The sequence below is a fragment of the Homo sapiens genome, chromosome 21, assembly GCF_000001405.40.
Source record: "Homo sapiens chromosome 21, GRCh38.p14 Primary Assembly".
Classification (NCBI taxonomy): Eukaryota; Metazoa; Chordata; class Mammalia; order Primates; family Hominidae; genus Homo; species Homo sapiens.
Window position 1 is genome coordinate 37257229 of NC_000021.9, and position 22522 is coordinate 37279750.

At 44.1% G+C, this 22522-nt stretch overlaps 1 protein-coding gene across 6 annotated transcripts in view, besides 8 other annotated features; it reads right to left on the bottom strand.

The window, feature by feature from the left end:
- VPS26C (VPS26 endosomal protein sorting factor C) overlaps window positions 1–10880 on the bottom strand; it is a 44689-nt gene extending 33809 nt beyond the window's left edge. For 5 of the 6 annotated variants that reach the window (XR_007067776.1, NM_001331018.1, XM_047440658.1 and 2 more), the window contains 1 exon segment: window positions 10010–10880. Coding sequence is in view for 5 of the 6 variants with exons in the window: in NM_001331018.1 (NP_001317947.1) it covers window positions 10010–10066 (57 nt within the window). In the remaining variant the exon portion in view is untranslated. 6 annotated transcript variants of the gene reach the window in all.
- Window positions 61–160: an enhancer, noted in NCBI's record as "active region_18447". NCBI's record gives its function as "activates an Ori minimal core promoter by ATAC-STARR-seq in GM12878 lymphoblastoid cells {active_cell/tissue: GM12878}" and the evidence as "EXISTENCE:reporter gene assay evidence [ECO:0000049][PMID:35858748]".
- Window positions 246–838: an enhancer, noted in NCBI's record as "H3K27ac-H3K4me1 hESC enhancer chr21:38629775-38630367 (GRCh37/hg19 assembly coordinates)". NCBI's record gives its function as "activates a minimal SCP1, AML or CMV promoter by ChIP-STARR-seq in primed H9 embryonic stem cells {active_cell/tissue: H9 hESC(primed)}" and the evidence as "EXISTENCE:reporter gene assay evidence [ECO:0000049][PMID:30033119]".
- Window positions 246–850: a biological region, named in NCBI's record as "H3K27ac-H3K4me1 hESC enhancer GRCh37_chr21:38629775-38630367".
- Window positions 571–850: an enhancer, noted in NCBI's record as "active region_18448". NCBI's record gives its function as "activates an Ori minimal core promoter by ATAC-STARR-seq in GM12878 lymphoblastoid cells {active_cell/tissue: GM12878}" and the evidence as "EXISTENCE:reporter gene assay evidence [ECO:0000049][PMID:35858748]".
- Window positions 839–1431: an enhancer, noted in NCBI's record as "H3K27ac-H3K4me1 hESC enhancer chr21:38630368-38630960 (GRCh37/hg19 assembly coordinates)". NCBI's record gives its function as "activates a minimal SCP1, AML or CMV promoter by ChIP-STARR-seq in naive and primed H9 embryonic stem cells {active_cell/tissue: H9 hESC(naive and primed)}" and the evidence as "EXISTENCE:reporter gene assay evidence [ECO:0000049][PMID:30033119]".
- Window positions 9702–10011: a silencer, noted in NCBI's record as "silent region_13299". NCBI's record gives its function as "represses an Ori minimal core promoter by ATAC-STARR-seq in GM12878 lymphoblastoid cells {active_cell/tissue: GM12878}" and the evidence as "EXISTENCE:reporter gene assay evidence [ECO:0000049][PMID:35858748]".
- Window positions 10152–10211: an enhancer, noted in NCBI's record as "active region_18449". NCBI's record gives its function as "activates an Ori minimal core promoter by ATAC-STARR-seq in GM12878 lymphoblastoid cells {active_cell/tissue: GM12878}" and the evidence as "EXISTENCE:reporter gene assay evidence [ECO:0000049][PMID:35858748]".
- Window positions 10752–10911: a silencer, noted in NCBI's record as "silent region_13300". NCBI's record gives its function as "represses an Ori minimal core promoter by ATAC-STARR-seq in GM12878 lymphoblastoid cells {active_cell/tissue: GM12878}" and the evidence as "EXISTENCE:reporter gene assay evidence [ECO:0000049][PMID:35858748]".

Below are 22522 nucleotides of genomic sequence, written 5' to 3' on the forward strand. Positions count from 1 at the left end.
AGAAAATGTTCTGGAAAAAGTAAAAAAGGATCAGGATCTGAGGTCAACTGACCTCTCCCTGCGCTCTGGACAGGCAAACAGGCAAGGTTCCCTCTGAGGCCGTAGCGGCTTCTCGTGGGCGAGTCCCTGTTCGCAGGTGACGTGTGGACCACGCTCTTCCGAAGCGTCTGGCCTGTGTGCTCTCGGGGAGGGGACGCAGGTCAGCCCACCTAGCCGATGGCTAACAAGTCAGTTTGTTTTCTGAACGGAAGCTTAAACCTAGAAAAGTAACTGGGTTGGGGTGGGGGTGTAGCCACATGCAGTAAAAGCACTGCCTGTCTGTATAACAACGACCTGATGAAAAAAGGAACGCGTGAAATGGGGAGTGTTAGGGCGTCACAAACTCCAGTGTGGTTGAAATGAAAGCAGAAAGCAAATGGCAAGCTGGCTTCCCCTTCCAGCTTTTCACAACCCTGCCTTGCTCATGGTCAGCCCCAAGCACGGGCGGAAGAAAGGACTGGAGGGGAGGGAAAGGGGTGGGGAGCGAGGGTACCAGAGGCGTGGGAGGACGGGGACAAAGGGGCAGCAAGGGACCGGCGGAAAGGAAAGTCGGCGTTAGCTGGATTGGAAACAGTCCAGACAGAACGATGGGCTCTGCTGCCTCCGGGTGGGGCACCAAGCGGGGAGCGGGGCCACGAGGCAGGGGACAGTGAAGCACCATGCAGCGCCCACCAGCCGGCAGCGCCCACCAGCCTGCGCTGCGCTGCACATGGTACCCGCGGCCCCAGCTGGCCAGTGTGTGGCGGAGATGAGACCCTCGTGAAGAGACTAAGCGGCCACAGCAGGGGGAAGGGTTGCTCACATAACCCCATACTGCTCACACTACGAGGTTAACTGCCGTGAGATCTGCCTGCAGCCAGCAGAAACCCGTTCTAGGAAAACGTTGCCCAGTGACTTCAGTGAGTGCCACTGACCCGGGCGCCTCCGCCCCGGCGTCCGGCAGCAGCACCGATTGCGCAGGAGGCACCTTGCAAACAACCTTTCCTGATCCGCGCTGCAGTTCCCAGGCCGGTTGCAGCCGTTTCACAGAGACTGCGCACACAAAGCGTCTCCGTGCCCTGCCATTCACCTTTCGACACAGCCGCAACCCCTCTTTTCAGTGTTAAAACCTGGCGCCAAAAGGAACATGCGATGTGACGTGTTACCTCTGCGCATGCGCCGGGCATTCCCAGCGCCCCGAACCTGATGAACGCGCGGTGGGGACCCCAGGCTTCCGTGCTTTCGTTTTCCTGGAAGCTACGTGTCCTCAGTCTACATATTGTTACCTGGAAAATAAAGTTTTCTCCTTTTTTCTTCCTTTGTTAACAGGCAGAAGGTGTAGGCTGCAGGTTTCGGGCCTAAGAGAGGGCATGGCTGGCGACACGGAGTAGACTCCTAGATGACATAACGGAGGCGAGTCTGCACCGGGGACTCGGCATTAGGAGGAGGCAGAGGAAAAGCCCACCACCGTGGCCGAGGGAGATCTAGCAAGCAGCTTGCAGGGGGTGAAGTGTGTGCAAAGCAGGCTGAGACCTGTCCAGTATCGAAACACGCCGCGGTGGTCAAGCAGGCTTTACCATGCTCAGGCGCAGGCTGGTACAAGATTTGCAGCAACAAACACCAAGTGGAGAACTACATGAACACTTTTGATCGCATCCCAGTTTTCAGACAATCTCGGATAATTCTGAAAATGCTTCTTATGCATTATATAAGAGTTTAGGTTATGATTTAACAGACAAGCTTTTTCAGGAGTATTAGGTTATTGGCAGAAGAAGAGACCTACTTAAAGTTTGGATGACTGTATTCCTAAAAGGTTCATACCTCTCAAAATTACCTTAAGATCTCTTCTGGCTCAGAGATTTAAATTTTTATACCCTAAGTCCTTACAACAAGCATTCACTGTTACAACTGATCATTCATTTACTAAGAATCCAGCAGGTTAAAGTAGAATATTTAAGCTTAAAAAAAAAAACAAAAAAACTAGCATTTTAGCTTTGCAATTTTTCTTCATAATAATGAACTGTTATGTATAGGGTTTCTCCTTTTTTTTTCATAAGAAATTACGGGCATGCCCAATTAAGGTAGTATTGAGGTTCTTAAGGTAACAGTACTCAGTCCACAGTGTATAAATTTCTTCTCACTGTAACCTGGCTATGCTGGGGAGTAAATCTCTTATTTATGTTTTTCACAACCATAATATTTAACAATGTCATTTTCATGAGTACATGTGCCAGAATTTAAGAATGTAAAACATTCTGGATTTATAAAAACAAATGAATTATATTTACACTACAGAAAGATTTACTGCAGGATTTTTCTAACCAATAAGCTCCCCTACAGCGTTCCAAGACACAAAGTAATTTACAGTGCATTTGAGTCCAACTTTTTGATCAAGAACACATCTGCTGCACTAAGCAAAGGAGTTGCAGCAACACCAAAATCACACTTGGCTCTCACGGCCAAAATCGCCGTCACCTCCGTATGTTCTCCTTGGTCACTGACTCTCCTTCCTCCAAGCAGACATAGACAGTGGGCACATATTTGACAATCTGTGAAGCATCTGACAAGCACTCATTATGCCATTTGGAGGGTGTACTAACGTAACTAGCATTGTGGCATACAAAGGGCAATTCTAAGGGTGAACAGACTTCGGAGCGTGGAAAAGAACATGACAATGCCACCACCTATTACTGCGGCCCCCACGAGGTGTTGGAAGCTAGGATAAGTGTCTTAAAACACTATCTCATTTAATTTTTAAAATACAACCTTTGAGTAGGTATCATCTCCATTCTACAGATGAGAATTAAGACCCAGAGAAGGCACAAAGAATCCTGGATTTAGGAATAAAAAGATGCAACTTCAAATATTTGCTATCATCAGTCCCCCTGGCATGTCCCTGAATTCTCTGGGCCTCAGTCTTCTGAACCACAAAACGGAGAAAACGCTACCTCTTAACAGTATATGGAGGATTAAAGCACTCTGTGAGCTGGAAAAGGCTATCCTAGTCTACCTAGTTATAAAACAGTATTAGTTAGGTGTTTCCATGGGAAATTTAATCTTTCACTGGAAGTAGGGAATTAGGGAATGTTTAACACAATTCCTGATTATCTCATATCACCCATGGGTCTTTGGAAACAGAAGTCAAGTTTTTAGGCCAGGTGTGGTGGCTCATGCCTGTAATCCCAACACTTTTGTCAGGCCAAGGCAGGAGGATTGCTTGAGGCCAGGAGTTTGAGACCGACCTGGGCAACATAGCGTGATTTCATCTCTATCTTAATAAAATACTTAAAAAAAGAAGTTTTCTACCCAAGTGGAAGGATGCTTAGGGAGAAGGTGCCCCAACAGCAATGCTGCAAGCTTGGAGAAAGGGTCTATATTCACGCTGAGCCACAGGAACTGGGATGAAGACCCTGGAAAATCAAACCTTGGACAATTTTCTATTATATTCCATTCCTGAATCAGAGAGAAAACCATATTTATAGGAATTCTGGAATCTCTACTCCCAATTTATTTGAATCATGATCTTAAGAATGACTATTTTAAAGCAAATACAAGTAATGGTGGGTGCAATGTGTAGCTCTGGGGCTATGTCAAAATAAGAATAAATCTTATCAACATCTGTCTGAAATTGATACCTAGAATATTATTTATAATTACGAAGCAAAATCCATAATGTGCCTACAATACCATAGTTTCCCCTTTCTGATCAATGCATTTATAAAATTATCAGTCTTCTGCATTTTGTTTAAATGTTTCAGGGCTTCAACTCATCATTTAATAAAGTTTTTGAGCACCTATTAAGTGGTGAGTACTGCCAGGCCCAGGAATACAAAGATAAACAAAACCAAATATTTTAATTGAGTGGACTAATAGAACAAAGTCACTACAACAGAAGGTAATCAGTGCAATGACAGCAGTATACACAAAATGTGTTTGTAAACTATTGCCAGTTACTACTAAATTACAGAAAACATTCCCATGTTATTCTGTTCACTTTGTTTCCTTCGCTGTGTAGAAGTTTTTTAGCTTGATGTGATCCCATCTGTCCATTTTTGCTTGGGTTGCCTGTCCTTTTAAGGTATTGCTCAAGAAATCTTTGCCCAGACCAATGTCCTGGAGCATTCCCCAATGTTTCTTTTAGTAGCTTCATAGTTTCGGATCTTCTAAGTCCTTAGTCCATTTTGATTGTCATTCCCATGTTATTTTGTCTTTTCCTGACAATTAGACTTGACATTCCGTTATCCCATCACAATCTCACTTTCTTGTTAGTTACTCTTTTTGTAATTCTGCTTGTAAGAAAGTTTCTAAAATTTAAATATTAAAATTAGGAATTTTTGTAAGGCTATGGGTGACAAGAGTTGTTGCTATAACAGAAACTGAAGCACACATTTCTATACAACTCATGTCAAAAAAAAAAATGGAAATTAGAAGATATTTTAAGTTGTACAATGATAGAAAATACTACCAATCAAATCTTGTGGACACAATTTTCAGACTTGGCAGTGAAGCATTATCTCGGGGTCCTCTGACATTCCCACAGTGCATGAGGTTACCAAACCATGAAACCTCATCAAGGTCCTTTGGAGCAGGGTCTTCTCCCAGAATCTAGATGGAGTGATCCTACTTCCAGTCTCCTCTCCAGCAGGATGTGGGTAGGGTTACAAGGGTTTGCCTTACAATAATTCACTCACCTATTAAAAAGAAAAATAAAACTTAAGGTACGAAGTACTACTTAGAGTAGTACTTAGTGGGAAATGTCTACATTTTTAAAAAGGAGGCTACAATTCAATATGCTGAACAGCCAACTTACAAAGTTTAAAAAAAAAGAACATAATAAACCCTAAGAAAACAGAAATATTTTGGAAAGACAGTCAACCTAAGTCACATTAAAAAACTGCTGTTGCTGCCAGATTAGATGAGGATGAGCAACTATAAACACCTGGTCAACCAAGTAAAAGAAACAGTCTAAAGGACTCAGGTTGCGTCCCAAATGTCTGCAAACTCTTCTTCACCAGGTTTACATTGTCTATTCCTCATGACTGAAACCAGCAGTGCATGGTGGGCACTTAGTTTAACACTCAGTTTTCAAAACTAGGTTTGATGAAGCTCCAGAAGGGCCCCCAGCTTCTCCCTTTTCCCCCCAGATGACTATACCCTACTTTATGCTCCTTCATACATCACAGATGCTCTTATTTGAGCACTTGATCATCTTTTTAATCATCTTTTATTTTATATATTTGCCTATCTCTACTAACCTGTAACCCTCATGAGATCAACATACATTGGCTGAATGAAGCTGATTGATTAAATAATATAAAAAAGAATGGGACTGATGAAAATGTTAATATGAAAAGGTATCCAAGATAAAGGTACATTATTAAGAGAACAAGTTGCGTGTGTGTGCACACGTGTGTCTGGAACACTACACAAATCATCAGTGGATACGTCCAAGGGCAGAACAGGGAGTCAGGAAGAGTAAGGAGACTTCACTTTTCATTTTACCTTCTTCTGTAGCACGTTAATTTTTTTTTTTTTTTTTGAGACAGAGTCTTGCTCTGTTGCCCAGGCTGGAGTGCAGTGGTGTGATCTTGGCTTACTGCAACCTCTGCCTCCCGGGTTCAAGTGGTTCTCAAACCTCAGCCTCCCAAGTAGCTGGGATTACAGGCGTGCACCACACCCAGCTAATTTTTGTATTTTTAGTAGAGATGAGGTTTCGCCACGTTGGCCAGGCTGGTCTCAAACTCCTGGGCTCAAGTGATCTGCCTACCTCGGCCTCCCAAAGTGCTGGGATTACAGGTGTGAGTCACCGCACCCAGCTGGGATATTACATTTTAACGTTTATATTTTTTAAATGCTTCAACTGTAATTTTTAAAAAATCATTTTGTCAGTGAGTATTTTTTCTTAAAAAAAAGGTCAATTTTAAATCTAAGTATAACTTAGGTTTCTCTGGTGTCCACAGAATCAAGCCATTTTCAAATGCTTCCACAACTAAGATACTGAAAAGCACAATAACAGAATCAGCATATATTCAAAGTAGAAGTCATATCAGTCTCTTTTTATTGAAATATCACAATGTTATTCACAGCACTCCTACGAAATGAATAACAACATTTCTATATTACAAATTCCTCCATTTTGCATAAATGGCCACTCCTAGGGAGGCAGAATAATAGAGTGTTCAATGGACATGCTTTGAACTGGAACTGATCTGAGTTGGAATCCAGACTCTGTCCAATTAGTCGGGTGAAGTTCTTCAACTTGTCTAGTTGGGTTATGAAATTCATCAACTTGTCTAAGCCACCATTTCCTCATTAGAAAAATGAGAGTGATACTGCCTGGCTGTCAAACCCTACCCCAGAACCTCTGCTGGAACATAAGCTTGCCTTATGTGCTTACGCTGACAAACACGTTTCACTTGAAAGACAATCACTTAATGACCTCAAGCCTGGGATAGTACTGCTTAGGATCAGGCTAAAGTAGGTGGCAGTCACCTCAAGCAACCCATAAGAATTGTAGGCATGGTGCTCTGGCAGGTCCATAGGTAAGTCAAATCTTTGGTAACTGAATCTTTACTGTCACTGTTGAGATGTACGGAGAAAAGAGAAAATGTGTATGCTATCAGCTCCATTGCAGCCAGCTAAGGGTGAGGAGGATAGGAGAGAAGGGCCGCTTCTCCCACAACCACAGCGCAAACTAGATGTGACATATGCACTGTCTGCAGTCAATGAGGCCTCCTCAAGGACCAGACAGCAAGGATCCTGCTACGTGAGGCTTGGAAAACAGCCATGACAGTGCTGGCTGCCTACTCCACCTACCCTGAATTACAGATCATGGAGTCTAGCACATGAGTCATGGGCACACATGTCAGAGATTTTTGTCAATTGATTAATTAGTTTAATAACTTTCTCTTTTCTGTCGCCTTTTAAAAAAACATAGCAACCATCTATTTGGAAGTTATACTGGTTTTTCTTTTATATTCACCATATAAGGTTTCCTTTAAAATGCATGTAAGTATAAAAAGTGACTGAAGGTTGAGAGAAGCTGCCTTCAGCCATCAATTGCAGATGCTGTTCCTTATACTAGCACCAGGAGATGTAGTCTAAGGGACAGAGCTGACTCTGTCTTCAACTCTGTGACCCGCAGGAAGTGGTCCTGGCTGTGTATGACTTCTGCTGGGGCAACTTTACCATTCCACTGCTTGTGTCTTTTCTAATGTACTTTTCATTACTTGTATCATATTTAAAACCACAGAAAATATCTCAGCATCCCAGCTGGAGTAACATTTCTGAAGAGAACATGCTAACTTGTTAATGAAATAATGAATACTAAAGTTAAATGCATATATAGTCTCCTGTCACTGCCCTCCCATTGTTATTTTGAAACATTTCCAAGCTCCAGAAAAGTTACGAGAATACAAAGTAGTGGAAAAATTGGAACCGTCATACAGTGCTGGTAGACTGTAAAGTGGTGCAGACATTTTTGGAAAATAATTTGGCAACTCTTCAAAAAGTTAAAGTAGCTCAGCAAAATCCACTCCTAGGTATATATCCAAGAGAAATGAAAACATCCTCTCACATAAAAACTTGTACTAGAATGTTCATAACATTATTAATAGCGAAAAGGTAGAAATAACTCCAATGTCCATCAAGAGACCAGTGGTTAAACAAAATATGATCTATCCATACAATGGAATATTATTCAGCCACAGAAAGGAATGAGGAACTGACTCATGCTATGACAAGCATGAACACTGAACATTACTCGAAGTAAAAGAAGCCTGTCAGTCAAAAGGGCCACATAGTGTACGATTCCATTTATATGAAATGTCAAGAATAGGCAACTCCAGAGACAAAGTCAATTTGTGACTGCCAGGGGTCAGGAGGGAGGGGGAATGAGGAGTGACAGCTAATGGGTTCAGGGTTTCTTTTTGGGGTGAAAATGTTCTAGAATTAGATCGTGGTGATGGGTGTGCAACTCTGCAAATACACTAAAAAACTACTGAATTGTATACTTTCAAAGGGTAAATTTCGTATTTTAAATTATCTTTATAAAGCTGTTTTTAAAAAGAATACAAAGTAGACCCATGTAGCTTTTAACTTCATTCAGCAATTGTTAGTATTTTGCCACATTCACTTTCTTTCTCCTATACACATATGTGCATAAACATATGTGCACAGTCTACGGCTTGACACTTTGATCCTAAATACTTCAGCATGTGGAGTATTCTACATAACCAAAATATAAATATTACACTGGAGAAATTCAACACCAATATACAACAATTATAGTCCATAGTCGAATTTATATTTTATCAGAAATTAAGCATTCTATTTGGTTCTCATGTCCCTTTAGTCTTATAGTCTAGAAAAATTATCTCGCCTTTATTTTTTGACACTGATATTTCCGAAGAATCCACGCTACTTGTTTCACAGAATGCCCTTCAATTTGGATATTCCTTATTGTTTCCTTATGAACTGATACGGATTAAACATTTTTGGCAGGAATACTACATAGGTGAGTTGTGGCCTTCTCTGTGCATCATGCCAAGGGGTACCGAATGTCAGTCGTCTCATTAGTTGTGATGGTGAAGTGGTGTTCATTGTTGTGCTTGGCTAGAGGAGTGTGACTACCAGATTTCTCCATTATAAAGGTAGCTTTTTCTCTTTTTTTTTTTTTTTTTTTTTTTTTGAGACGGGGTCTCACTCTGTTGCCCAGGCTGGAGTGCAGTGGCACAATCTCGTCTCACTGCAGCCTCCGCCTCCCGGGTTCCAGCGATTTTTCTGCCTCAGCCTCCCTGGTAGCTTGGATTAGAGGCGTCCGCCACCACGCCCGGTTAATTTTTGTATTTTTAGTAGAGACCAGGTTTCACCATGTTGGCCAGGCTGGTCTCGAACTCCTGACCTCAGGTGATCCGCCCGCCTCGGCCTCCCAAAGTGCTGGTAATACAAGCGTGAGCCACCGCGCGGGCCAGATTTTTCCCTTTGTAATTAACCATCAAGGGGATGACCATTTGAGCTTGTGTAAATAAGAGCAGGCTTCCCTAGTTGTCTTTTGCCCAAAAGTTTTAGCATCCATCCAAGACCTTTGTCTGAAATTCTGTCCCTTTTGAGATTACTTTGCATTAATATGACCAACCACTGCGATCAATTTTATTCCAAAGAGTGTTGGGGCTGTGATTTCAACCCTAGCTGCACATATATCACCGGTATCGCTGGGAGTGGAACCCAAGCAATCATATTTTAAAATTCTCCAGGATGACTGATTCTGATGTAGAGTAAGGGTTGAGATTCCCCGAGTTAGAGGAACCTTACAACACCCTCATTTGCAAATAAGGACACTGAGGCCCAAGGAGGTTAAATGACTGGCCAATGTCACAAAACCTGTTAATGGCATAGTCAAGATTTTACTTTTTTATACTTGCATTTTAATAGCCATTCCTTTGTGTCAGTCGAAGAATAAAACCAGAAAAAGCAGTAACTTTCGTAGTATGTTAGTATGTTGTTAAAAGTGACTACCATCTAATATATGCTGCCGCCAGACATACCCATTTCTGCTTCCAAGGTTTGTTTTAGCTTTCGTTCATTAGACCTTTGCGGTCACCTTAGGAGAGAGGGAAAGGGGAGTTTGGTCGTCAACTCCTCCGCCCTCAGCGCTCACTGAGGGAGCTCAAGCCTGAGAACCCAACACCGCCGGGTGTTCAAGGGGCCAGATGGGAAGAGCGCAGCCCCGGAGCTGGGCGCCTGCCCTGCACGTCCCGCAGATGCGGCGGCGGCGCCTGCCCTGGGGCCTCCTCGCAGGGCAGCCAGCCTCGCGCGGGAAGCACCTGGCGGGGACGCACCTGGCGGGAACGCACCCACCTTGGCGGAGACGCACCTGGCGGGACAGCCCTGCCCCGCCTAGGGACGCGGGACGTGCGCAGAGCGATGGAGACAGCGGAACCTGCAGACCCGCCCAACCCCACCTCCATCCCCACCCCCAGCCCCCACTTACCCCGGCGTGATAAACTTTATTCGCTCTTTTAATCTTGATGTCCAGGGCGGTCCCCATCTCCAATTCTCCGCAGCAGCCGCCACTTCCGGCTGCGCGTGACCCCAGGGAAACAAGGGGCGCCTCCCCGCTTCGTTCTGGGCCCCGCCCCTTTCCCTCTCTGCCGGCAGTGGCTCACGTGACCTCGCAGCGGCGTCGCACACACTCCCTAGCTCCGAGGGGCGAATGCCCACGCCTTCCTCCTTCCGGCACAAGAGCCGGCCTTAGTGCGGGCCGAAGCGCTGTCACGGTTCACCCCGCCCCCTCTGGGCGTGAAAGACGGGGCCAAGCTAGCCCCACCCCTTCCGTAGGGACAGTCTTACGCCGGAAATGCTCCTTTGCTGTCCGGGTTAGCGGAGGGAGGGAGGAACGGCTCTCCCCGCGTGCCCCGCGGCTGGAGGCGGAGCCGAGCCTGTCTGTCGGTTGCAGCCTGCGCAGGAAGGATGACGCTCCCGTCAGGCTGTGCGGCGCAGACGGTCGCCCAATGGAGTTGTCTTTCAGGAGGTTTTAACTTGGTAATGCCTGCCCTCCTCAAATGTCCTTAGTCTCCTCAACTCTAGCCCTCCACCGCTTTCTCCCTGGGGTTCTGAAGAGCCGGCGCCCCCTTGTCTGTCTGCGGCCAGGCGCCGCACCCTGCCCTTCCCGCGGGAGCGGTTCCGGTCACCCTCAGGGGTGCGGCCCCTGCGTGCTAGTCCTGCAAAGCGCTGATTGGCCGGCGGCTCGGTTGCCTCGCGTCCCAGCGCCAGCTGGGCCTAGGGCCAAGGTCTCGGGAAGCGCCGGGTGACCTCGCTCCTCTCGGAGCCGCGGGCGCTGGGTCACCCGCCAGCCGGGCTCCGCGGGCCGCGAGGGATTGTGGGTGTTCCCCAGGCGCGTGTCCTGGAACCGGGTGTTAAATATTCAGATCCGTGCGCCCCGCGTGAAGGGTGGAAAGGCACGGCCCCCAGGCTCTGGGGCTTGGAGATTGGTTGCAAATGAAAGACTGAAAGCTGGAGTGAATCTGCCTATTATTTTTATTCCCAGCAACAGCTGACCCCAGATACAGTTTGTGGGGGTGGGGGGCGTTACTGCAGGGCAGGGCAGTGCACTGTTAACGTACTTCGTTTATTGAGTTAAAATCTCTTGTAAATGTTATAAATGAGGATTTTGCCAATAAGCAGAAGGTCAAATTTCATTTTGACAAATGATTTAATTAAATAATGCGGTGAAAAGTGCTTTTTGTTTAAATTCTTTGCTTTTTGTTTAAATTCTTTGATTCTGATCATTATTTTTTAAAGTGCATTGCTTTTGGGATAACATCAGAAACTATCTGTAAAAAGAATTAGTATCACGAATGCCTCCCTCTTAAGAATATAAAATGTTTTACAGGCCAGCAGTGATGGTGCTGCAGCTACAATTGCATTTGAAGGTTAATAAATGGTATTTTCAAATATTCAGGTCTTGGTTTGCAGCTCCTCTCTGCCCTCAGGGCTTTGGTCTCTGTCTTCAATGTTTTCCTGGCAATTCAAAACTCAGCGATTTTAGAACAATTCATTAGGGACTTGAAAATCACAGTCTAGTCTATTTGAATTCAAGAAGTGGATCCCTTTCCGCTAGACTCACCCATCATTTTCAAGTGGTAAAAAATCAATCTCAGTAGACACTGCAGAGAAACAGGAAAAGAAACACATGTATCAACATTGTATACTTGGTTTTTTTGTTTTGTTTTGTTGTTGAGACGGAGTCTCGCTCTGTCGCCCAGGCTGGAGTGCAGTGGTGCTATCTTGGTTCACTGCAACCTCCGCCTCCCAGGTTCAAGCGATTCTCCTGCCTCAGCCTCCCGAGCAGTTGGGACTACAGGCATGCGCCACCATTCCCAGCTAATTTTTGTATTAGTAGAGATGGGGTTTCACCATGTTGGCCATGCTGGTCTCGAACTCCTGACCTCATGATCCACCCGTCTCGGCTTCCCAAAGTGCTGGGACTACAGGGGTGAGCCACTGCGCCCAGCCTCCAATCGCTATCCTTTTAAATCTTTTCCATCCCTCACTCACACCTTAGATGATACCTTAACTTTCTGGTCCATTTGAGTTACCAAAAATCAGACCGTGTTAAAGTGTCGATCTCATGTCTCAAGTGGGACCCTAAATCCCTTAGTGTGAGTGGGAAGGTGCAAAGCGTGGTTCTGGCATGCAGACACTTCTCAACGTACCTCTGCAAGGCCTGGCTTCTGTGTTGAGATAAGGAAGAGGAGAGAAAATGAGACAAATATCTCTTAACTAGCCACTGCTGAATTTTCTTAGTTGATTCCTGCCTCTCTGGTAACTGTCTCGTTTAAAATTCCTTTCGTGGGGTACAGATGGGGAGGTCGGGTGGGGCCTTCTCCCTGCCGCACAGTTCCATGGGAGATCTTTTCCATCACCCGCCCCCGCCGCCGTCAGCACCGGGCAGTACACTCAGCCTCTCAGGCAAGATCACTCAGGACCATTTATCTTCCGCATAGGAAGAATTTGACCCAGGAGAAATACACATCTTTGCCACACAAAAGGGCTGGACTGAAGACCACCCCGTGGCTACTCCTCTCTCCCCTGCTATATCCCTCTTCAATTTTGTTGTTCCCCCTTGCCATACAGACAGGGATAAGTCAGCAAGAGTGCTGGAGGAACAGATCTGCAGGCAACAGATAGAATACCAGACTCCCCTTCCAGCAGGCCCTCTGATACCTTGGAGAGATTGTCCTATGTCCTTCCCAGCTACATCACTTCCCACCAGAAACACCGTCCTCCGCAATACCGACTGCCTCCTTTCATTCCTTCCCCTGCCTTCCTGTATAGATTGAGGAGAGGACTGGGGAAGTATTTGGTGGAAGCGGGGCCAGATCTGCAGCTTTTTATTAAGCCCTGGGGGAAGTGGCCCCAATTATAGGCATCTTTCATTAGGAGATGGAGTACTATGCCTGTAGTTTTCCATTGTGAGCCTAGTGCCAATTCTGGGACAATAGTAGAGGTCCCACTAAACATCTTTAAGTGGGTGCTATGATTCTCTGCGCAGACTCTTCCTGCAGGACTGGAGGACATGTTCCCTGAGCTGCTAGGAGTATTGGTCTCAACAGTTTTCAGCTAAGTCACTCTTCAAAGCTTGGCTTTAATGAAGAAAACTGCCTTGCCCAAGGTCATTCCCCCTTCTAGGGGGCAGCCCACACTTGACAATTAATCCATTTAGGATATAGAGGCCTCTCCGTTGTTCCAGTTTAGGACAACTCTGAAGGACCATTCCATATTCAAAACTCCCAGTATTAGTTAAATACTGATGTGTAGCAAATTACTCCAATCTGTAGTAGCTTTAAATAACAAACGTCTCATTATGTCTGCGAGTTGGGAACTCAGGAGCAGCTTCCCTGGGTGTTCCTGGCTCAAGGTGTCAGATTCTTGCAGTTGTCTGAAGGCCTGTTGTCGGCTGGAAGATCCAGTTCCAAGATGGCTCCCTCACATGGCTGAGGTTGGGAGCACTCACTTCCACTCCACAGGCTGCTTGAGAAGCCTCACAGTATGGCAGCTAGCTTCTCCCAGACCAGTCAATCAAGAGAGAGTGCAATTAGGGAGCTGCAATGCCCTGTGAGGCCAAGTATCTGAAGGACATCTACTTTTCTTCTCTTCATCAGAAGACAGTCACTAAATCCCACTAATTCCATTTGGGAAGGGGAATTTAGCTCTACCTATGGAAGGGAGGGTCAAAGAATTTGAGGACATATTTTAAACCACTACGCTCCGCATTGAATCCTGCTTCCTACACCCAAACCCTGTGCGCCTGTTGATCCTGAGAGCATCTCCCCAATAAACTTCCTGCATGTTAAATCTCCATCTCGTATTCTGCCTTCTGGCAACCTAACCTCAACAATCCAGTTATGCTAGTTTCATAATAACCCTCATAATAACCCTCAAGACACTCTTGTGATACAGGAAAAATTACTATTTCCTCACCTTACAAAAGGGAAGACAGGCACAGAAAGATTAATGTACTTGCCCAAGGTCATAGAGCAACTAAGTGGCAGCCACCAATTCTGACTCCAGAGTTCATATAGGCAATTGCTGATCAATGCGCTACATACATGCACACAACAAACGCCTGGGTGCATAACAATGGGGGGCTCATGATCTTAATCAAAAGACTGGACAAAAGACTGCCAATCAAATGGGAAAATCCAGCAGAGGTGCAATGTCATAGTCAAAGGCAATCTTAAAGAGAGGAATGGGGGGTCATTGTATCAACTGATGGTGAAGATAGAATATTAAAACTATTGCAGAATAGTATAATGCTTTAGTTTGCTACGGCTGCCACAACGAAGTACCACAAACTGGGTGGCTTCAAACAACAGAAATTTATTCTTTCACTCTTCTGGAGGCTGCAAGTTCAAAATCAAGATGTCAGCAGGGTTGTTCTTCTGAGGACGGTGAGGAAAGAATCTGTTCCAGTTCTCTCTCCTTGGCTTTTAGGTGGCCCTCTTATGTCTCCTCACTCTATCTTTAAAAAATGTGTCTTCATGGCTGGGCACAGTGGCTCACACCTGTAATCCCAGCACTTTGGGAGGTCAAGGCAGGAGGATCCCTTGAGCCCAGGAGTTCGAGACTAGCCTGGGCAACATGGCGAAACCCCCCATCTCTACAAAAATATAAAAATTAGCTGGATGTGGTGACGCATGCCTGTAGTCCCAGCTACTTGGGAAGCTGAGGTGGGAGGATCGCTTGAGCCTGGGAGGCAGAGGTTGCAGTGAGCCAAGATCATGTCACTGCACTCTGGCCTGGGCGACAGAGCGAGACCCTGTCTCAAAAAATAAAATAAAATGTATCTTCATGTTCACGTGATGTTCTTTCTGTATCAATGTCTGACTCCAAACTTGCCCTTTTTCTAAATACACCAGTCATCTTGTATTAAGGTCCACTAATGACCCCCTTTTAACTTGATTACCTTTGTAAAGACCCTACTTCCAAATACCGTCACATTCTGAAGTACCAAGGGCTAGGACCTTAATTTGGCAGGGAAACAATTCAACCCAGAACACCATCCTCATAGATGGGATTAGTGCCCTATAAAAGGAATGGAAGGGAGCTAGCTAGTCCTTTTGCCCTTCTGTCCCTTCTGCCAAGAGAGGACATGGCATTTGTCCCTTCTGGAGGACTCAGCATTCAAGGCGCCATCTTGGAAGCAGAGTGGAACCAGACACAACGTGCTGGTACCTTGTTCTTAAACTTCCCAGTCTTCGGAACTATGAGAAATGAACTTCTATTGTTTAGAAATTACCCACTCTGTGGTATTTTGTTATAACAGCATGAATGGACTGAGACAATTGCATGTATGGCCACTAAGAACATCTCAATGTTGATTATGTACAAGTTTGATTAAGGATGTCCTGGATACCTTAACTACCACAACTTACACCACTTGGCAGTTAAGACACACTTTCTCAAATAACAAAATGTGAAGCATTCTTTGTAAACAAACACATAAAAATACAATATTTGTTTTTTATAAACAATATATATGAAATTTATATATAAATAAAGAAAAATAAAATTTTAAAATAAAATTTAAATTAAAGATAAATTAGCCAGGTGTGGTGGCTCACACCTGTAATCCCAGCACTTTGGGAGGCCAAGGAGTGTGGATCATCTGAGGTCAGGAGTTCGACATTAGCCTAGCCAAAATGGTGAAACCTCATCGGTACTAAAAATACAAAAATTAGCCAGGCGTGGTGGCGCAGGCCTGTAATCCCAGGTCCCCGGGAAGCTGAGGCTAGAGGATCACTTGAACCTGGGAGGCAGAGGTTGTAGTGAGCTGAGATCACGTCACTGTACTCCAGCCTGGGTGACAGAGTGAGATTTCATCTAAAAAAAAAATTAATTAAAATAAAATAAAATAAATAAAATTAGAAAATAAAATAGAATTTTAAAATGTAAACATACATAAAAATTTATATAAAAATGTTTAATGAATTTTATAAAAATAAAATTTATATATAAATTTTATATTTTATATAAATTTTTTATTAAAATGTGATTAAAATACAATATTTGTTTCTTATTTGTCAAGAAACAAGTAAAAATATGATACCAGACTAAAAATAACAAAGTATGAATGCTTCACACCAAAACCTATGGGATACAGGTAAAAAAAGAATCCTCTGAAAAATTATTGGAAAAAGTTTGGAAATTTGGTCAGAGTGAAATGATATGCTATCTGGGATTTGCTTCTAAATAACTCTAGGAGGAGGAAGAGGGAGAAGGAGGAGGAGGGGGAGGGGAGAAAGAGGAGGATGAGGAGGGGTGGAGAAGGAGGAGGGGGGAGGGGAGAAAGTAGGATGGGGAGGGGCGGAGAAGGAGGGGAGGAAATGGAGGAAGAGGGAAGGGGTACAGGAGGAGGAGGAGGAAAGGTTTTATTCACTCATTCACTCTGCCTTTGTATACACTTGAGTTCCATAACAAAAGAAGAGAAGATAAATTTACAAAGTAGGATAATATTTTTGAAATATTAAGCTGAAGTATTTTTAAAATTCCTTGTCATTCCCAGCAGGTGCCCCTCAACTCTCTCTCCATCAAGTTTATACCCTGAAGCAAAAAATGTGTGTTGAAGAGCACTTTGCCAAAGATCTGAAACATGGTTTGGTCTAGAGGAAGGGGAATAGAATGAGAAGAGCAGAAGTAGCTCCTGGGGTGGGATCCAGCTGTATTTCATGCTTGGAGTCAACGTCCCAGTTGGGGTTAGAAATGCGCAGGGCAATAGAAAACATGACAGGAAACTCGGAGCTCGAGAGAGAAGAATCAAATGATTAAAATAACCCAAAAGTTAGAGGTATGGGCTGAGTCAGCCAAGGGGGAGTCCCGGCTCTTTCTAGCGGTCCCTCTAGTGTGCTATTGCCTGTGCAGAGATGGGATTTTGAGACACTCCAGCTGGGACGTTGGCAGATAGGCAAGGGACATGGCATTTTTGAACCATATGCCTCTCTCCATCCCAAGTAGAATGCTTTTGGGGAAAGGTAAGAAGGAGACTGAGGATGTGAAAAGAGAATTCTAAAACACTGGCTATCAGCTGGGTTCCAACTGAATAATGAGACTGATTTTCTTCTCCCCTGTCCTCAGCAGAAATGGTTACTGGGGAGCTAAACTGGGTTAATTTATAGAGAAATGAAGACTGGTACTTTTTTGGTCATCTATATGTATGCCTGTAAATTTTGAAACAGCCTACGTATGCAAAAATCAATAGGCATTACGATTTAACAGCAACAACCAGTTAGAAAATAAAATGAAGATACAGACTGTATTCTCAATAGCAATCAAAATATAAAATATTTGGAGTAATTTGAATGTGATCTATGTTTTAGTTACATGAGAAAAGCTATAAGGCTGAATTAAGAAATGTGAAATATGGCAAAATAGAGATTTACAGTATTTCTGAATAGAAAATCTATTTTAAAATGTCCAGTTGTATACAATTAATTTTTAGAGCTAATTACTCTCAATATCCTAATAAAATTTTTCATGAGGAAATTCAATGAAATTCTGTTAAAATTCTTCTGAAAAAATAAAGAAGTATTTTGAAATGACATCTCTTTAAAGAGCTAATTGTAGGAGAAAGGTTTTTACTAGGCATAAAATATAGTATAACTGTAAGAATTAAAAGAGCATCATCCTGACATAAGAGCAATTGGATAGGACAGATCATTCAGAACAGATCCCAACATATTATGTATAGGATTATTTATTTATTTATTTATTTATTTATTTATTTATTTATTTATTTTTGAGACGGAGTCTCACTCTGTCACCCAGGCTGGAGTGCAGTGGCACGATCTCGGCTCACTGCAACCTCGGCCTCCCGGGTTCAAGGGATTCTCCTGCCTCAGCCTCCCGAGTAGCTGGGACTACAGGCGCAGCCACCACGCCCGGCTAATTTTTTGTATTTTTAGTACAGACGGGGTTTCACCGTGTTAGCCAGGATAGTCTCTATCTTCTGACCTTGTGATGATCTGCCCGCCTCATCCTCCCAAAGTGCTGGGATTACAGGTGTGAGCCACCACGCCCGGCCTATTTATTTTTTATTGTATATATTCAAGTTGTATATGAAATTTCAATAAATGATAAAAGAGGCATTGCAAATCTATAAAGAACAGGGGATTACTCAGTAAATGATATTACACTAAATGCTATTTAGAAGAAAAATTCATTTAGATTTTACCATAACAGCATATATCAAAAAAAAGGAAGAGAGAGAAGAAAAGACCTAGTTGGATTAAAGAGTTCAGGAAATAATAAAACAAGTTAAGGCACAGACTTAATGAAAAGTATGGAAAACTTATATGAGAAAAACTACTAAAGTCTTGCATGAGACGTCACAGTAGATTTGAACAGAAGGCAAACATACCATTATCTTGGATAGGAAAGTGTAACATCATAAAAATGTTAAGTCTCCTCTGCTTAATTTATATATTTAAATTAACACTAACAAAAATATTAATTTATTTATGGAGCCAGGCAGGTTGATTATAAAATTTATTTGGAATAATAAATAAGGGAGAATAGCCAGAACAAATCTCAAAAGAGATGAACCGGTGGGGGGCAGGGGGAGGAGGAGGAGCCTAGGACGTGTCATACAGAGAGTGGCACCTGGGACTCATTTTAGCCAGTGGAAGGCAGTGAGAGTTCTGCACCTAAATCTTTTTTTTTTTTAAACAGAGTTTTGCTCTTGTCGCCCAGGCTGGAGTGCAATGGCGTGATCTCAGCTCACCGCAACCTCCACCTCCCGGGTTCAAGCAATTCTCTTGCCTCAGCCTCCCGAGTGGCTAGGATTATAGGCATGCACCCCATGCTCTGCTGCTTTTGTATTTTTAGTAGAGATGGGGTTTCTCCATGTTGGTCGGGCTGGTCTCGAACTCCCAATCTGAGGTTATCCCCCTGCCTCAGCCTCCCAAAGTGCTGGGATTACAGGCATGAGCCACCGCACCCAGCCTCTGCACCTAAATCTTAAAAAGGCCTGGCAACAGGCCTGGCACAGTGGCTCATGCCTGTAGTCCCAAAACTATGAGCCAAGGTGGGAGGATCGCTTGAGGTCAGGATTTTGAGACCAGCATGGGCAACCCAGTGAGACCTATCTCTACAACAACAACAACAAAATTTTTTTAATTAGCTGGTCACAGTGGCATGCGCCTGTAATCCCAGCTACTCAGGAGGCTGAGGTGGGAGGATTGCTTGAGCCCAGGAGTTTGAGGCTGCAGTGACCTATGATTACACCACTACATTCCAGCCTGGATGACAGAGCAAGACCCTATTTCGAAAAAAAAAAAGGCCTGACCTGGCAACTTCTGCTTTTACATGCTGGGAGGGCTGAGTATGATGTAAGGAGCCCAGTGACCCTGATGGAGACACTGTTGAAGGACCACAAAGAGGAGAGGCCCTGAACAATATGGAGAAAGAAGGGGTGGGAGAGAGAGAGAAAACCCCAGCTCCCCCAGCGTAGCCACCAAGAATGGCCCTCCTGCCATGTCCACAAGGACCCAACATACACATGAAGCCATCTCGGGATTTCCACTCCACTGCCATAAAACTGCAGTCACGTGAACGACACAAAGTGAGACTGGCAAAAGGACCACTCAGCTGAGCCACAGTCCACCAGTAGAATTGTGAAAAATAATACAGTGGCCATTGTCCTAAGCCACTGAGTTTTGAGGTGGTTTGTGATGCGGCAGTAGGTGACCAGATCAAATGATTACCGAAGGGGAAAAGACAGAATAGGGCAGGGAGACAGGAAGAGAAGCAAGACATCTCTGCATGTTATGTCATAGAATTTTGACTCTGTATCCATGTAAATGTTTTAGCTAATTTAAAAAAATTTTAATTTAAAAAATTAAACCACACAGAAAAGAGAAATACAATGGAATTGTTAAAACTTCAGTGGGGTAGAGGTAGGAAGACTTTCTACATGACTGATAGAAACATCACAAAGGAGGCCAGGTGCAGTGGCTCACGCCTGTAATTCCAGCACTTTGGAAGGCCGAGGCGGGCGGATCACAAGGTCAGGAGTTTGAGACCAGCCTGGCCAAGATGGTGAAACCCCATCTCTACTGAAAAATACAAAAATCAGCTGGGCGTGGCGGCATGTGCCTGTAATCCCAGCTACTTGGGAGGTTGAGGTAGGAGAATTGCTTGAACCCGGGAGGCGGAGGTTGCAGTGAGCCGAGATCGTGCCAGTGCACTCCAGCCCGGGTGACAGTGCGAGACTGCGTCTCAAAACAAAAACAAAAACAAAAAACAAACAAACAAAAAAGAAACATCACAAAGGAAAAACATAGCCACAGCTGGATGCAGTGGCTCATGCCTGTAATCCCAGCACTTTGGGATGCTGAGGTGGGAGGATCACTTGAGCCCAGGAGTTGGGCAACATAGTGAGACCCCTATGTAAAAAATACAAAAATTAGCCAGGCATGGCGGCGTGTGCCTGTAGTCTCAGCTATGCAGAAAGCTGAGGCCAGAGGATCACTTGAGTCGGGGAGGTCGAGGCTGCAGTGAACCGTGATCGCATCACTGCATTCCAGCCTGGGCCACAAAGCAAGATCATGTCTCAAAAAAAAAAAAAAGAAAAAGAAAAAAAGTCAATTTATTATATAGAAAATTTTCCTATACATCAGTGGGGAAACCCATAATAAGAAGGAAAGAACTGCTGGGCGCAGTGGCTCATGCCTATAATCCCAGCACTTTGGGAGGCCAAGGCAGGTGGGTCACCTGAGGTTGGGAGTTTGAGACCAGCCTGACCAACATGGAGAAACCCTGTCTCTACCAAAAATACAAAATTAGCCGGATGTGGTGGCACATGCCTGTAACCCCAGCTACTCGGGAGGCTGAGAGGGGAGAATCACTTGAACCCGGGAGGTGGAGGCTGCGGTGAGTCGAGATCGCGCCATTGCATTCCAGCCTGGGCAACAAGAGTGAAACGCTGGCCCCCCCCCGCCCCCCCAGAAAAAAGGAAAGAACATTTTGGGAAATATATACAACAAACATGACAAGAAAAGTTCACATTTTGACCACAGAGGATGTGTTAGTTTTCTACAGCCGTGTAATAAATAACTATAAATGTAGAGATGCGAAACAACACCCACTGATTAGCTCACAGCTCTGTGGGTTCAACTGGATTCTCTGCTTAGGGTCAAACAGGGTTGAGATCAAGGTGTCTGCCTGGCTGGGCTATTACCTGGAGGCTCTGGGAAGCACCTACTTGAAAGCTCATTGAGGTGACGGGCAGAATTCAGTTCCTTGTGGTTGTAGGACTCCAGTCACGTGCCCTCGCTGACTGTCAGCAGGGACCACTCTCAGCTTTTAAAGACGTCTCTCTGATCAGTGGGCAGAGCCCCTCCATCATCAAAGCCAGCCATGGTGCATCAAATCCTTCTTGTGCTTTGAATCTCTTTGACTGCCCTTTCTGCGGCCAGACAGAGAACATTTTCTGCTTTTAAAAGGCTAATGATATTAGATTAGGCCCACCTAGAAAATCTCCCTATTTGAAGATTAACCATGCCAGGTAACATAATCTTGGGAGTGATATTTCATCATATCCACAGCTTCCACCCTCACTCAAAGGGAGGGGATTATAGAAAGAAGAAGGTCATTGGGGGTCATTCTTAGAATTTTGACTACCAGAGGGGATAACATTCACATCTATAATAAGAACTCTAAGACACAGGACATGAATAACAGTTTGCAAAAGAGGAAATCAAGTAGTTAGCAGACATATGGGAAAATGTTTCACTTCAATTGAAATAAAAGAAATTCTAGTAGAAATCTTCTACTCACAGATTAAATTAGCAAAAAATACTAAATATTGGCAGCTATGTGGTGAAACAGGCATTTCATTCATTGATGATAGCAATGTGAATGGTACAACACATGTAGAAATAAATTTGGAAATATATACCAACGCCTTTAAAATGTTTATATTCTTTGGCCCAGTAATTTGACTGCTGGGAATCTATGTAAAGATTAATCCTAAATTTGGAAAAAAAATTTCCCAGCAATCAAGTAATCCTAAATTTGAGAAAAAAACATTTTTAAACACTGATATGGTTTGGCTCTGTGTCCCCACCCAAATCTCACTTTGACTTGTAATAATCCCCACGTGTCATGGGAGGGACCCGGTGGGAGGTAACTGAATCATGAGGGCAGGTTTTTCCTGTGCTGTTCTCATGATAGTGAATAAGTCTCACAAGATCTGATGGCTTTATAAAGCAGAGTTCCCCTACACAGATCTCTTGCCTGCCGCCATGTAAGACATGACTTTGTTCTTCATTTGTCTTCTGCCATGATTATGAGGCCTCCCAAGCCATGCAGAACCGTGAGTCCACTAAACCTCTTTCTTTTATAAATTACCCAGTCTCAGGTATGTCTTTATTATCAGCATGAGGACAGACTAATAAAAACACCATGGTATTCACGGCAAATTATTAATAATGAAAAAGTGGAA